Genomic DNA, 16,590 nt, shown 5'->3' on the forward strand with positions numbered 1-16,590 from the left:
AGTGGCGTGATCTTGGCTCACTTCAATCTTCACCTCCTGGGTTCAAGTGATTCTCCTTTCTCAGCCTCCACAGTAACTGGGATTACAGGCATGCATCACAACGTCCAGCTAATTTTTGTATTTTTAGTGGAGACAAGGTTTCATCATGTTGGCCAGGCTGGTCTTGAACTCTTGACCTCAGGTGATCTGCCTGCCTCAGCCTCCCAAAGTGCTGGGATTACGGGTGTGAGCCACTGCGCTTGGCCATGTGTGGAATTATTAGTCTCACCCCTGGATCTTATTGCAGATGTTATTGTGACATATGCCTCTCCCAGCACCTGAGTGATTTGACTCTCTTGTGAGGTCTTAGCTGACAGATTGGATTGTGGCATATCACCTAGGTGATATGACACTATTCGCCTGCCTTGGCACTACCTACTTGGGGCTTTGTGACATATGTCTGTGCTCATAACTAAGATGATGTGATTCTCTTCTCTTACCTGGTCTCTGCTCACATGGGAGATAATGACATATTGCTGGGACCAATACCAAAGTGACATTACTCTTTTACCTTGACCTTCTTCTCAGAAAACATTGGGACATATTGTTGGGCCCACCACCAACATGATGTGAGTCTTCTGTGTGGTCTCTGACCACAGAGATCATCGTGACATATCTCTGAAAGTTCAAAACTATTTGAAGCGATTATCTTGTTATGCCTGCTCTTTGCCCATAGGAGAGAATGTAACATTTCTGTGGGCCCAGCACCTAGTTGATATAAGTGTGCCTGGCCCATGCCTACAAAAGAAAGACTGACTTATCCATGGGTCCAGCACACAGGTGATTCCATTCTACTGCCTTGATTATTGCCCACAAGAATCACTGTTACATATTTTTGGGCTCTCCTCCTAGGTGATGTGAGACTCTTTTCCTTCCCTGGTCCCATCCACAAAGGAGATTGTGACATATCACTTGACCCAGCACCTACGTGATCTGTCTCTCATCTGATGCCTTGGCCCTTCCCACTGGGCTGATCATGACATATAGCTGGGCACAGCTACTAGGTTATGTGACTCTTCTCTTCCTGAGTCCTGCCCACAGGGAGCATTGTGACCTATCTCTAAACACTTCACCTAGATAATGGGACTCTTTCATCTGGGCCCTCCCCAAAGAGGCTATTGTGACATGTTTGGATCAAGCACCTAGGAAATATTACTGTTCTCTCCTACCTGTTACCTGTTACTGGTAGTGAATCCGTATGGGTACAGGTCTGCAGCAACCTCAATTCTTGCCTCCTCAGAAGAAAAAAACTCAACTGAGGGGCATAAGGCAGAAGGAGAGACCAAGGCAAGTAATAGAGCAGGAGTGAAAGTTTATTAGAACAGGAACAAAAGGAAAAAATGTACACTTGGAAGAGGACCAAGTGGATGACTTAAAAGGCAAGTGCACAGTTTGACCTTTGGAGCTGGGGTTTTGTATGTTGGCATACTTCTGGAGTCTTGAATTACTTCTCCCCATTCACCCAACTCCTGAGATCTTATTGGGAAGCTGCTGATCACCAGTTTCAGCTGTTTTCTATCTATTAAGAGACTGCCTTTCACTAGTGCCAGCTGTGCTGTAACCAATTATTACTTTAGAGGGACAGCTAACAACTGCCTCACCTGACCATCACCTGATCATTGACTGACTCTCCTGGTGTGTGTGTGGGGCCCTCACTTGCCCTGTTCATACCTGACTAGCTACCTACTGTAACGCTGCATGCATTGTGTATTGTGACATATAACAGGGCCCAATATCTAGGTGAGGTGACTCTACTGCAAGGGCCCTGCCCAACAGGGGTATTATGATATATTTTTACATTCACGATTTAGGCGATTTGCCTTTCTCTTTCTGCCAGACCCCTGCCAAAATATGGATGGTGACATATCACTGGGCCTAATGCCTAGGTAATGTGACTTCTGTCTTTTGAATGGGCCCCACATATTCTGAGTACCATGACATATCACTGGGCCAAACATCTAGAAGATGGGAGGTGCCGACCTGTGTACTGTAAACAGAACTTTAGCCCTACCACTCTCAAGAGCCTCGTGACATATCTCTGCATTTGTCACCTAGGAGATGTGACTCTCCCCTGCTGCCTTCACCCTGCTCACAGGGAAGGTTGTGATATAACATTGACCCAGCAACAGGATGATGTGTTTCCTTTTCCTAGGCCTTGCTCACAGGGACCATTGTGACATATCACTGGGCCCAGCACCCAGGTGCTGTGACTCTGCTGCCTGTGCCCTGCCTGTGTCCTGCTTTCAGAATAGGATTGTAACATAGACCTGGCTGAGTACCCAGGTGATGTGACTCTTCTCTCTGGTTCCTGCCGTCAGAGAAGATTGCGATATATCCCTGGCCTAGCATCAAAATGATGTGACTCTCCTGTCACTCTCTATCCACAGGTAGGATTGTGAAGTATATCTTCGTTCAACTCATCAGTGAGATAGTAACTTTCATACCTCAAACCAACCAATAGGAGAGACACTATCTTTTGAAGCTAGGCTTTGGGAAATAGATAAGATCCCATTTCTCCTCTCTGTATGAAGATCACAGTGGATGTCTGCTGTCTTATATATCACATCAGCCCCTCATGTGTTACAGAGGGTGTCATCACAGGGCCCAGCACACAGGTGACATGGCATTTCTTATTTTTTGAGACGGAGTCCCTCTCTGTCCCCCAGGCTGGAGTGCAGTGGCACAATATTGGTGCTCACTACAACCTCCGCCTCCCGGATTCAAGCAGTTCTCTTGTCTCAGCCTTCCCAATAGCTGAGACTACAGGTGCCCGCCACCACGCTTGGCTAATTTTTTGTATTTTTAGTAGAGACGGAGTTTCACCGTGTTAGCCAGAATGGTCTCGATCCCTGACCTCGTGATCCACCTGCCTCAGCCTCCTAAAGTGCTGGGATTACAGGTGTGAGCCACCTCACCCGGCCAACATGACATTTCTTGTGTGCACACCCTGTCATCCATCAGGATTGTCACCCTCACGCATGAACAGAGCCTACTGGTAAGGTCTTGAATTTCACACGTGAATGCAGTCTACAGTTGAAATTGTGATTGTCATATGTGAACATCCAGCTGCAATTGGCATGGTGATTTTCAACCTAGCTCCTAGGCAGGTGAGGACTCTTTTATCTGGAACCAGCCCATTATAGAGATGTTGACTCTCACAACTGAGCTTAGTTCCACAGGTACAATCATGGGTCCATACCATCATGAAGGTCATAGAGCAGTTTGTAACTCTCACTAATACTGCAGAAAGCTCTCGGGTGGTACTGGGTCTTAAAGAACCTAGCGCACAGGTGAGATTGTGACACTCATATGCAAACCCAGTCAACAGTAAAAATTGTCCTCTTTTGACATGAACACAGCCCACTGTTGAGGTCCCAAGTCTCCCTCATGAAAACAGTTTAAAGGTACGAAATTGACTCTTATATGTAGATTCAGTTCACAGGTGGGTTGGTGATGCTCAGACCAATATTCAGCACACCTGTGAGTCTGTGACTCCAGTAAGCATCCACAGTCTGTAGGAGAAACTGAGGCCCTCGTAAACGAATCAAGTGCACCATTGAGACTGTGACTCTTGTACTTAGACTCAACATATAGAAGGTGTTTTTTTTGTTTGTTTGTTTGTTTTTGTTTTGTTTTGTTTTTGTGACAGAGTCTCACTTTGTCACCCAGGCTGGAGTACGGTGTCATGATCTTGGCTGACTGCAACCTCCACCTCCTGGGTTCAAGCGATTCTCTTGCCTCAGCCTCCCAAGTAGCTGGGATTACAGGCACCCGCCACCATGCCTGGCTAATTTTTGTATTTTTAGTAGAGACGGAGTTTCACCATGTTGGCCAGACTGGTGGAGGTGTTGACTCTCAAATTTAGAAATGGGACATGTGTAAGATTGTTAATCTAATCTCCAAATTGTCTTGCAGGTGTTATTGTGACATATGTCTCTGCTTAGTACTTGAGTGATTTGACTCTCCTGCCTGGGCCCAGTCCATAGATGCAAGTGTGACATATGGCAGAACCCAGCACTTAGGAGTTGTGACTCCATACTCCTGCCTTTGTGCTGCCCCTAGGGTTGGAGGGGGGAGGATTGCAACTTATCACTGGGCCTTGCATCCAAGTAATGTAAGTCTTTCTTTTCTTGGCAATGCCTACAGGGGACACTGATATATTCCTGGGTCCCAAACCCAGTTTATGTTATTCTCCTATTTGTTCCCTGCTCACATGGCCCATTTCTACTAAAAATACAAAAATTAGTCAGGCATTGTGGCGGGTGTCTGTAATCACAGCTGCTTGGGAGGCTGAGGCAGGAGAATTGCTTGAATCCAGGAGGTGGGTGTTGCAGTGAGCCAAGATTGAGCCACTGCACTCCCGCCTGGATGACAGAGTGAGACTCCGTCTCAAAAACAAACAAACAAACAAAAAAACTGACTATCATATGTGAGCATCTGGTCAAATTTGGGGTAGCAAAACTTTTTTGTTTTTTTTTTTGAGATGGAGTGTTGCTCTGTTGCTCATGCTGGAGTGCAGTGGCTTGATCTTGGCTCACCACAACCTCCAGCTCCCAGGTTCAAGCGATTCTCCTACCTCAGCCACCCGAGTAGCTGGGACTACAGGCGTGTGCCACCAAGCCCGGCTAATTTTTGTATTTTTAGTAGAGATGGGGTTTCACTATGTTGGCCAGTCTGGTCTTGTGATCTTATGATCTTATGATCCGCCCACCTCGGCCTCCCAAAGTGCTGGGATTATAGGTGTAAGCCACCACGCCCGGCCAGCAAAACATTTTTAAATGAAGCTCATAGGAAGATGAAGGCTCTTGTATCTGGATTCAGAAAATTGAAAAGATGTTGACTCATATCTGGGCTTAATTACCTTAGATGCACTCATAGGTTTATACCAGCATGAAAGTCTCAGACTCGATTGTAACTCTCATTCAAACTGTATAAAGCCCTAGGATAGTACAAAGAGTGACGTAATAGGGCCAAGCACACAGGTGAGATTATCACACTCATGTGCACACCCTGCCAACAGTAAAGACTGTCATTCTCCCATATGAACATGGCCCACTGTTGAGACTTTGAACCTCACACACAAAGACAGCTGAAAGTTGGAAAATTGAATTACATATGTGGTTCTGGTCCACAGATGTTTTGTTGACTCTCAAAGCAAGATTCAGGACACCTGTGAGCCTCTGACTCCACTAGGGGAACACAATTCACAGGAGAGATTGAGGCTTTCAAATACAGATCCAGACCACCTTTGAGATGGTGACTCATGTAATTAGACACAACATACAGCAGGTATTGACTCTCATACCTAGAACCAGGACATGTGTGGGATTCTTAATCTCATCCCTAGACCTTCTTGCACATGTGATTGTGACATATGCCTCTTCCCAGCACCTGAGTGATTTAACCTTTCTGCCTGGGCCCTACAGATGGAATTGTGGCATATCACTGAACTCATACCTAGGTGACGTGAGCCTATACTTTTGCCTTAGCACTTTTCACAGACAGCATAGTGACATATCACTGGCCCTAGAACCCAGGTGAAGTGACTTTCCTCTATTGCTTGGTCTCTGCCCAAGAACAGATTGTGATATGTCACTGGGCCTATCACCTAGGTGATATGATTTTTCTCTCCTACCTGGACCCAACACTTTCATAATGCAAATCTCCTGCTTGGGCTCGCCTACAGAGGTATTATAATATATCTGTTCATTTATCACCTAGGGGATGTGACTCTCCTTTTCTGCCTGAACCCTGCTGAAAGGGAGAATTCTGACATATCACTGGGCCCAGAATCTAGGTTATGCTACTTTTCTGTTTTTCCTGGGCCCCACATATTTTAGGTATTGTTACATATTGCTAGGTGTCATTCCTTTGGGCTGGGATGCTCTGGCTTGCCCACAAGGGGCCTTGTAAAATATTTCTGTATCTGACACCTAAGATATGTGAGTTTCCTCTTTTGCCTGCATCCTGTCCACAGAAAATGTTGTGATATATCACTGGACCCAGGCACCAGGTGATGTGTCTGTCCTGCCAAGGCTGTGCCCAGAGGGAGCATTGTGACATATCACTGAGTTCAGCACCCAGGTGATATGGCTTTGCTGCCTGTGCTCTGCTTTCAGGAGGGGATTGTACTATATCTGTGGCTGAGTACCTAGGTGATATGACTCCCGCGTGGTTTCTGCCCTCAGGGAAGATTTTGACATACCCTTGCCAAAAACCTACTTGATGTGACTTTCCTGGTTGCTCCCTAGCCACAGGTAGAATTGTGACATATATTTTGGCCAGCTACCAGGTGCATTGGTTACCTCATACCTCAAACCAGCTAATAGAAGAGACACTACCTCCGATAGCTAGACTTAGGAAAATGAGTAAGATCATGGGTCTCCTCTTTGTGTAAAGGCCATAAAGGATTACTGTTCTTTTACATATCATATAAAGCCCTTGAGGGGTACAGAAAATGTCATCACAGGGCACAATAAAAGTGAGATTGTGTTTCTTGTATGTGAATCCCATCAACTGTTAAGACTGTCACCCTGACACAAGGACAGAGCCCATTGGAGAGGTCCTGAATTTCACACGTTGACACAGCCCACAGTTCAGATTGTGACTGTCATATGTGAACACCCAGCTACAATTGGGATGGTGATGTATTTCTAATTCTGGCAGGTTAAATCTCTTCTATCTGGACATATCCAACTGGAGAGATGTTGACTCTCATTACTGGGCTTGGGGCCACAGGAAGGATCATGGGTCTATATGAGCACAAATGTCTCAGAGCATATTGTGACTTTAATGTATATTGTAGAAAGCCCTTTGGTGGTACAGAGGGTGTCCTAACAGAGCACAGCACGCAGGTGAGATTGTGACACTCATATATACACCAAGCTGACAGTAAATATTGTCATTCTTCTGGATAAACACAGGCCACTGTTTAGGTTCTGGATCTCACACCCAAAGTAAGTTGAAATTGAAAAATTGATGCATAAATGGATTCAGTTCACAGATGGGTTGGTGACTCTCAGACCAAGATCCAGCATATCTATGAGGCATTGACTTCACTAAAGGGACACTGTCTGCAGGAGGGATTAAGGCTTTTATGAACAGATTCAGTAAACTGTTGAGATTGTGGGTTATAAACTTAGACCCAACATACAGGAGGTGGCGCCTCTTATACCTAAAACCAAGAAGTGCAGGATTGTTAATCTCTTCTCTGGACCTTCCTGCAGCTGTGATTGTGACGTATACCTCAGCCTAGCACTTGAGCAGATTTACTGTCCTGCCTGGGCTCAGCCCACAGATTGGATAGTGACATCTTGCTGCATCCAGCATTTAGTCAATGCGAATCTACACTCTTGTCTTGGTTCTGACCATAGAGAGAATTTTGACATATCACTGCTCCTTGCACATAGGCTATGTGACTGTCCTGCCTGTGTTTTGCCCACATGGGCCATTGTAACATATTGCTGAGTCCAGCACCCAGGTGATATGATCCTCCAGCCTTTCCTCTGCCTACACAAGATAGTGTGACATATCTTTGGGTCCCTCACATGGGTGATGTGACTCTCCTGCCTCACCCTTGTTTCAAGGGATATTGTGACATAACTGCTGTAACCAGCACCTAGGTGATGCGGCTATTTTCCACTGCTTGGGCTGTGCCCAATGAGGAATTGTGAAGTGTCTCTCTGCCCAGTACCTAGGTAATTTGACTCTCCTCTTTTTCCTGGGCACTGCATACATTGCGTATTTGAAAATATGGCTGAATCCAACAGCTAGGTGATGCAACTATCTTACAAAGGCCCTGCCTAGAGATGTATTACGATGCATTTTTTATTTATTACTTAGGTGATGTGACTATCTTCTTCTGCCTTGGCCCTGCCTAATTTGAGAATTGTGAAATATCACTGGACCCGGCACCTAAGTTATGTAATTCTCTTCTATTGCCTGGGCCCTACATATTTTGGGTATTGTGACATATCACTGCACCAAACACCAAAGAGATAAGAAGCTCCTGCCTAGGCTATGCCTACAGCAGCCCTTGTGACATATTTCTGAATTCATTATGTATGAGATGTGACTCTCCTCTTCCGCTTGCACTCTTTCTATAGAAAGATTATGACATATCACTGGGCCCAGCAATTAGGTGAGGTGTCTGTCCTGCTTGGACCTTGCCCACTGGGAGCACTGTGACATATTGCTGGGCCCAGCACTGAGGTGATGTGACTCCTTTCTGGACCCTGCCTTTAGGAAGAATTGTGACATATCGCTAGCCCAAAACCAAAGTGATGAAACTTTCTTGCTTACTCTATAACCACAGGTAGGATTGTGACATGTATCTTTGCCCAGCTCATAGGTATGATTATGATTGATACGTTGAATTAGCCAATAGAAGAAATGCTATCTCTCACAGAAAGGCTTAAGGGAAATGAATAAATCCTTAGGTCTCTTCTTTATACAAAGGTTGTAGGTGAGTACCACTGTCTCACATGTCATATAACGCCTTTGGGTGGCATACAGTGTCATCACAGGGCCCAGCACACAGGTGAGATTGTGTTTTTCATGTGCACACTGTGCCAACCATTAGGATTGATACTCTCATGAATAAACAGAGCACACTTCTGAGGTTCTGAATCTCACACTCAGATGCAGTTCAAAGTTGGAACTGTGACGGTCATATGTAAATATCCAGCCACAGTTGAGATGGTTATTCATTTCTAAACCTAGCTAATAGGCAGGGGAGAACTCTTCTATGTAAACCCAGTTACTTGGAGAGATGATGACTCTCATACCTGGGCTTAATTTCACAGGTACAGTCATTGGTCCATAGCAGCATAAAGGTCTCAGAGTGGAATGCCACTCTTAGGTATATCATATAAATTCATCAGGTGGTACACAGATTGCTCTAACAAGGCCCAGCACGCAGGTGAAATTGTGACACACATATTCACACACAGATGACACTAAAAATTGTCATCCTTCCACATGAATACAGCCCTCAGTTGAGGTTCTAAACCTCACACCCAGAAGAACTCACAAATTGAATAATTGACTCTCATACATGGATCCAGTCCACAGGTGTGTTGATGACTAAGACCAAGATAGACACACCTTAGAGGCTGCAACTTCACCAAGGGGACACAGTTTGCAGGAGGGATTGAGTCTCCCATGCAAGGGTCCAGTCTACAATTGAGATTGTGACTCATGTACTTTTATCTGACATACAGGAGATGTTGATTCTCATATCTAAATCCAGGACATTTGGGAGACTGTTAGTCATATCTATGGACTTTCTTGCAGGTGTAATTGTGGCATATGTTTCTGCCCAGTACCTGAGTGATTTTACTTTCCTGTATGACCCAAGCCCACAGATGTGATTGTTACATACCAGTGGACCCAGCACCTAGGTGATGCAATTATATTTTTCTCCCTTGGTGCTGTTTGCAGTGGGGCTTTGTGATGTATCACTGAACCCAGCACCCAGGTTATGAGACTCTTCTGCCTGTGCCCTGCCCAGATATGCCATTGTGCTATATTGCTGCATCCAACACTATGGTCATGTAACCCACTTGCCTGGGCTCTGCCTACAGAGGGAATTGTGACATATCTCTGCACCTATTACTCAGGTGATGTGACTCTTCTCCTGCATAGTCCCTGCTCATCAGAGGGATTTTGACTAATTCTTAGGCCCAGCACCTAGCTGATATGATTCTTCTTTCTAGGTCCTGCCTGTAGGGGAGATAGTGACATATCACTAGGCTCAACAGCAAGGTGATGTTTTTCTTCTGCTTTGGCCCTGCCCTCAAAAGTCATTGTGATGTATTGCTGAGTCCAGCACCAAGGTGATGCCCAGTTCTTGCCTGAATCCTGCCCACAGGAGGCAATGTGACTTATCTCTGTGTCCATCAACAATTTGATGTAACTTTACTCTTTTGCCTGGGCTTTTAGCATAGGAGAGATTGTGATATATCTCCATGACCTAGGTTACATGACTGTCCTCTTCTGCCTGGGCCATGCCCACAAAAGGGAGAGTGACTTTTCACTGGGCCCAGCACATAGGTGATGTAATTCTTCCTCCTGGTCACTGCTCACAGGGTTTATTATGACATATCTTTAGGCCCATCACCTAGGTGATATGACTATAGTTTTCTTCCTAGGACCTTTTGACAGGACTGTGATATGTCACTTGGCCCAGCACCTATGTGATGTGACTGCTCTCATAACTGACCCCTGCCATCTAGGGTGATTTTGACATACAGCTGATCCCAGTTTTTAAATTATGGCACTCTTTTTTACTTTGTGAGTCCTGACCACAGAAAGCATTGCAACATATCTCTTGGCCTCTGACGTACAATATGTAACTATCCTGCCTAAAACCTATTTTCAGGGGGTGTTGTAACATATTGCTGAACCCACCATCTAGGTGATGTGACTGTCCCATACTGGATGGGCTCTGAGCAAAATGGGACTGTGATGTATCACTAGGGTCAGCACCTAAGTGAAGTGATTCTCCTCTTTTTCCCAGGCCCTGCATACATTGTGTATTGTGACATATGTGTGGGTCAAACACCTAGGTGATTTGACTCTTCTGCCTGGAGCTTTCATACAGCATACTATGACATGTCTTTTCATTTATTACCTGTGTTATGTGACTCTCCTTTTCTGCCTGGGCCATGCCAAAAGGGGGGATTGTAACATATCACTGGACCAAGCACCCAGGTGATGTGACTCTCCTATTTTATCCAGCCCCCACATATTTTTAGTATTCTGATACATGGCTGGGCCCAACACCTAGGGGTTGGAAATCTCCTTTCTCTGCCATGCTCACAGTGGACCTCATGACATATCTCTGCACGTGTCACTTAAAAGATGTGACCCTTTTCTGCCTGCACGCTGCCCATAGGAAAAATTGTGAAATACTCATGGGCCCCCAAACCAGGTGGTGTGTCTCTCCTGCCTAGGCCTTGTTCACAGGGAGAATTGTGACATATCACTGGACTCAGCACCCAAGTGATTTGACTCTGCTGCCTGTGCCCTGCTTTCATTAGAGGATATTCACATATCCCTGGCAGAAAACCAGATGATGTGACTCTTCTTCCGGGTCCCTTCTCTCAGAGAATATTATAATATATTCCTGACTCAAGACCCAGGTAATGTGACTCTCCTGCTTCCTTCCTATCCACAGGTGGGATTGTGACATATGTCTTTGTTCAGATCATAGATGCAATAATGACTCTAATACCTCAAACCATCCAATAAGAGATATACTGTCTCTTCTAGCTAGGTTTAGAGAAACAGGTAAGATCCTGGGTCTCCTGTTTGCATAAAAATAATATCAAATTACCACTCTCTTGCTTATGGTATAAAGCAGTTTGATGGGACAGAAAGTGTCATCATATGGTCCAGCACGGCACACACGTGATACGGTGTTTCTCATATGCACACCCTGTGAACCATTAGAACTGTCACCCTTACATATGAACAGAGCCCACTTTTGAGAACACAGGTAAAACTGTGACTCTCCTATGCACACTCAGCCAACAGTAAACATTGTCACCCTCCTAAATGGAAACCATCCACTGTTGAGGCTGTGAATCTCCCACGTGGAGGTAGTCAAAAGTTGGAATTGTGACTCTCATACATGGATCTTGTCCATAGGTAGAATGGTAACTCAATGAACAGGATTCAGCACAGCTGTGAGGCTGTGATTCAGATATTGAGACTCAGTTTGCATTTGAAATTGTGTCTTCACGCAGGAATACAGTCCACCATTAAGACGGTGACTCATGTACTTGGACCAAACATAAAGAAGGTCTTGACTTTCATACCTGGAGCCAGAAAATGTATGGAATTTTGAATCTCATTTCTGGACCTGCTTGCAGGCGTGATTGTGACATATACCTTGGTCCAGCACCTGAGTGATTTGACTATCCTGCCTGGGTAAAGCCTCAAAATGGAATTGTGACACATGCCTGGTGCAAGCATCTAAGGTATTTTACTCTCCTGCGTAGACCCTGTCCTCAGGGAGAATTGTGACATCCTGCTGGACCCATCGCCTAGGTTATATATTCTCTCCTGCCTGGGCCCTTTACACAGGGTGGATTGTGACATATTGCTGTGTCCTGCATGCAGATAATGTGACTTTCCTGCCTGAACCCTGCCCACAGAAGGCACTGTGAAATACTCCTGGGCCCAGTACCCAGGTTATGTGACTTTACTGCCACAGCCCTGCCCACAGAGTGGACATTGACGTATTTTTGGTCCAGCATTCAGGTGATCTGAATCTCTTGCCTGCTCCATTCACACAGCTTAAATTTAGACATATGTATTTTCAAGCTCTTAGACATTATAGTCAAGCTTATATGGGAACCCAGCCAATAAGAGTAATTTTGACTCTCTTAGCTAGATTTTGGACAGTGGGTAGAGTCCTGGATCACCTACGTTTAGAAAGGTCACAGAGGTTTATAAAATTTATGCATAATTGGCCAGGTGCAGTGGCTCATGCCTGTAATCCCAGTCCTCTGGGGGGCCAAGGCGGGTGGATCACCTGAGGTCAGGAGTTCAAGACCAGCCTGCCCAATATGGTGAAACCCCATCTCTACTAAAAATACAAAAAATTAGCCAGTTGTGGTGGTGTGCGTCTGTAATCCCAGCTACTCAGGAGGCTGAGGCAGGAGAATCACTTGAACCCGGGTGGCAGAGGTTGCAGTGAGCTGATATCATGCCATCGTACTCCAGTCTGGGTGACAAGAGCGAGACTCCATCTCAAAAAAAATTATGCATACTTTAGAAATACTTTGTGTGCTACAGAGAATGTAATAATAGGGTCTACCACACAGGTAAGATTGTGACTTCTCACAGGCATACCAAGCCAACAATTAGGATTGTCACTTCCAAACATGAAAGAAGCACACTGGTGATGTCCTGAACCTCACATGCAGATGCAGTTCACAGTTAAAATTCTGACTGTCATATGTAAATCTGGGAACAGGTTGAATAGTGACTGATTTCTGGACCCAGCTCAGAGGCACAGTGATTAGTTGCATTACCTGGACCTAGCCAATAGGAGATATGTTGACTCTTATAGGTAGCCTTCAAGCAATGGGCAAGGTCCTGGGCTTTCTACTTGTATGAAGGTCACAGAAGATTGTAAAACTCATGCATGTTGTATGATCCCTTCCAATGGTACAGAGAGTGTCATAACAGTTTCCAGCACACAGTTAAAATTGTGATTCTCAGCTGGGGGCAGTGGCGCATGCCTGTAATTCCATCAGTTTGGGAGGCCGAGGCAGGCGGATCACGAGGTCAGGAGATCAAGACCATCCTGGCTAACATGGTGAAACGCTGTCACTACTAAAAATACAAAAAATTAGCTGGGTGTGGTGGTGGGTGCCTGTAGTCCCAGCTACTCAGGAGGCTGAGGCAGGAGAATTGCGTGAACCTGGGAGGCAAAGCTTGCAGTGAGCTGAGATCGCGCCACTGCACTCCAGCCTGGACAACAGAGTGAGACTCCATCTCAAAAAAGAAAAAAATTGTGATTCTCATAGGCATACCCTGCCAACAATGAGGGCTGTCATTCTCACAAATGGAAAAAGACTTCTGGTTTGGTCCTAAATATCACATGTGGATGCAGTCCACAGTTGAAATTGTGACTGTTATATTTGGATCTGGCCACAGGTAAAATGGTGACTCACTTCTGTATCCAACTCACAGGCATAGTGAGAACTCTCACACCTGGATCTAGCCAATAAGAGAGATGTTAGCTCTCATTCCTGGGCTTAGGACAATGGGTAAGATTATGAGTTTATACCAGCACATAGATCCAAGAGTGGGTTGTGGCTCTCAGGCATACCGTATAAAGCCCTCAGGTGTCACCAAGAGTGTGGTAACAGGGCCCAGTGCACAGGTGAGATAGTGACTCTGGTATGCACGCCCAGTTCACAGTAAGAATTTTCACCTTCTTAAATAGCCACAGTCCACTGTTGAGGTTCTGAATCTCAAACTCAAAGGAGCTGAAAGTTAGAATTGTGACTCTCATATGAGGATCAGGTCCACAGACGAGATAGTGAATCTTGGACCAACATTCAACACACCGGTGAGGCTGTGACTCTTCTACCAGGACACAGTCTAAGAATTGAGGCTGTCATGCACAAATCCAGTCTACTATTGAGATTCTGACTCGCATACTTAGACCAAACACTCAGAAGATCTTGACTATGATCTCTAGAGCTGGAAGTGTTTGGGATTGTTTATCTCATCCCTGAATCTTTCTGCAGGTGTGATTGTGGCATATGTCTTTGCCCATACCCTGAGTGATTTTAGTTTCCTGCCTGAGCCCAGCCCATAGATGGAATTGTGACATATACCAAGGCCAAGCACCAAGGTAATATGACTCTTCTCATCTGCCTGAACCTGTCACTTAGAAGTAATTGTGACATATTTCTGAATCCAGCACGTGGGTGATGTGACTCTCCTCTTGTGCCTAGGCCTTGCCTACAAGAAAGATTGTGTCATATCACTGAGCCCAGCACCTATGTGATGTACTTCTTCTGCCATAGTTCTCCCCACATAAGACACTGTGACATATTTCTGGGCCAATTACATAAGTTAAATGAGTCTTTGCTTATGCCTGGATCTCACCCTCAGAAGAACTTATGACATGTTGCTGGACCCAGCACCTAGGTAATTTGAGTCTTCTCTGCTGCCTGGCCCCTGCCAACAGAAGGGATTTTAAACTATTGCTTAAACTAGCACATAAATTTTGTGACTCACTTCTTTTGCTAAGCCCTGCTAACCGTGGGAATTACAACATATTGCTGAAACCAGGATAATGCAACAATCCTCTCTTGCCTGGGCCTTGCCCACAGTGGGCATTGTTACATATTACTGGGCCCATCTTCTAAGTAATGTGACTGTCCTCTTCTGCTTGGGACCTGCAACATGAAAGACTGTGGAATATCGCTAGGCCCAGAACCCAGTTGGTGTGACTCTCTTCTTTCTTGATCCTGCTCATAGTGCAGATTGAGATATTCCTGTCCTAGCATCCAAGTGATGTGACTCTTCTTCCTGGTTCCTAGCTACAGGTGGGATTGTGACATATGCCTGGGACGTGGTCACTGGTACAATGATGACACCCACAAACTTCAACCCACAAACCAGGAGAAATATTGATTCTGTCTGCTAGGCTTTGGGCAACAGGTAAAGTCTTCGTCTGTTACTTGCATGAAAGGTCAGAGAAAATTACAATACTCATGCAAATTGTATAAAGCTTTCAGCTGGTGCAGAGAGTGTCATAACAAAGCCCAGCACACAGGTGAAATTTTGACTCTCAAATGCACACCCAGCCAATAGTTAGAATTTTTACCCACACACATGTTTTTAGCCTACAGTTAAGGTCCCAAATCTCACATGTAAATGCTGTTCACAGTTGGAATTGTGACTGGTATATGTGGATCTAGCCACAGGTAGGATGGTAATTAACTTCTGAACCCAACTGACAGGTGTAATGATGACTCTAATACCTGGATGCAGCAAATTAGAGAGAGGTTGACTCTAATACCTGTGCTTAGGGCAAGGGTACAATCATGGGTCATAACAGCACAAGAGTCTCAGAGCAGATTGTGACTCTCAGGAATATTATACAAAGCCTTTGAGTGGTACATGGAATGTCATAGCAGTACCAATCACGGAGGTGACATTGTGATTCTTATATGCACACCCACCCAAATGTAAAAGTTGTCACCCTCCCACAGGGACACTGATCACCTTGAGGTTCTGAATCTGACACTAAGAGGCAATCGAAAGTTAAAATTGTGACTCTCATATGTGGATCCCATCCACAGGTGGGGTAGTGACTCTTGAGAAAGAATTCAACATGCCGGTGAGCCTGTGACTTTCATACCAGGACACCGTCCTTGGGTGGGATTGGGACTCTCATTCACAGATCCGATATATCATTGAAATGGTGAGTCCTGTACTTGCACATAACTCACAGGAGATGTTGACTCTCATAACTAAAGCTGAGACATGTGCAGAATTATAAATCTAACCACAGAAGCTTCATGAATGTGTGATTTTTACAGACCTATTTGCCTAGCATTTGAGTAATTCCACTCGTCTGTGTAGGCCAAGCCCTTAGATGGTGTTGTGACATGAATTGAGTCAAGAATCTAGGTGATGTAACTTTCTTTCCTGGGTGCTGCCCTCAAAGGAGATTTTGACATATTGCTGGGCCCAGCACATTAGTGATGTGATTCTTTTCTCCTGCCTGGTTCCTACACACTGGGAGCATTGTGGCATATCACTGAGCCCAACACCTAGGTGATATGACTCTCCTCCCATGTCTGGGCCCTGCCCACATTAGGGATGGTGACATATCACTGGGCCCAGCACCCAGGTGAAGTGAATATCCTCTCCTGTTTGGCTTCTGCATACAGGGGCATGGTGACATACTGCAGTGCCCAACATTATGATAATGTGATTTTACTGCATGGGCAGTGTTCACAGGATGGTATTGTGACATGTAAGTGGACCCAGCACCTAGATAATGTGACTCTC

The 16,590-nt window shown here is 45.2% G+C and overlaps 1 protein-coding gene across 4 annotated transcripts in view; it reads left to right on the forward strand.

The window, feature by feature from the left end:
- Positions 1 to 2,907: 2,907 nt before the first annotated feature.
- The window catches only part of ZNF723 (zinc finger protein 723), a 46,450-nt gene continuing 32,767 nt past the window's right edge, over positions 2,908 to 16,590 (forward strand). Inside the window, exons 1-6 of one of the 4 annotated variants that reach the window (XM_047439223.1) lie at positions 2,908 to 3,146; positions 11,790 to 12,023; positions 14,310 to 14,416; positions 14,520 to 14,715; positions 15,111 to 15,231; positions 15,876 to 15,997. In XM_047439223.1, the coding sequence (XP_047295179.1) occupies positions 15,995 to 15,997 (3 nt within the window). In that variant the 5' untranslated portion in view covers positions 2,908 to 3,146; positions 11,790 to 12,023; positions 14,310 to 14,416; ... (1 more) ...; positions 15,111 to 15,231; positions 15,876 to 15,994. Of the gene's footprint in view, positions 3,147 to 10,764; positions 11,184 to 11,789; positions 12,024 to 14,309; positions 14,417 to 14,519; positions 14,716 to 15,110; positions 15,232 to 15,875; positions 15,998 to 16,590 lie in introns of those variants that run through there. The other 3 variants (XM_024451652.2, XM_047439225.1, XM_047439224.1) reach the window with 3 other exon arrangements.

The sequence above is a fragment of the Homo sapiens genome, chromosome 19 (assembly GCF_000001405.40).
Source record: "Homo sapiens chromosome 19, GRCh38.p14 Primary Assembly".
Classification (NCBI taxonomy): domain Eukaryota; kingdom Metazoa; phylum Chordata; class Mammalia; order Primates; family Hominidae; genus Homo; species Homo sapiens.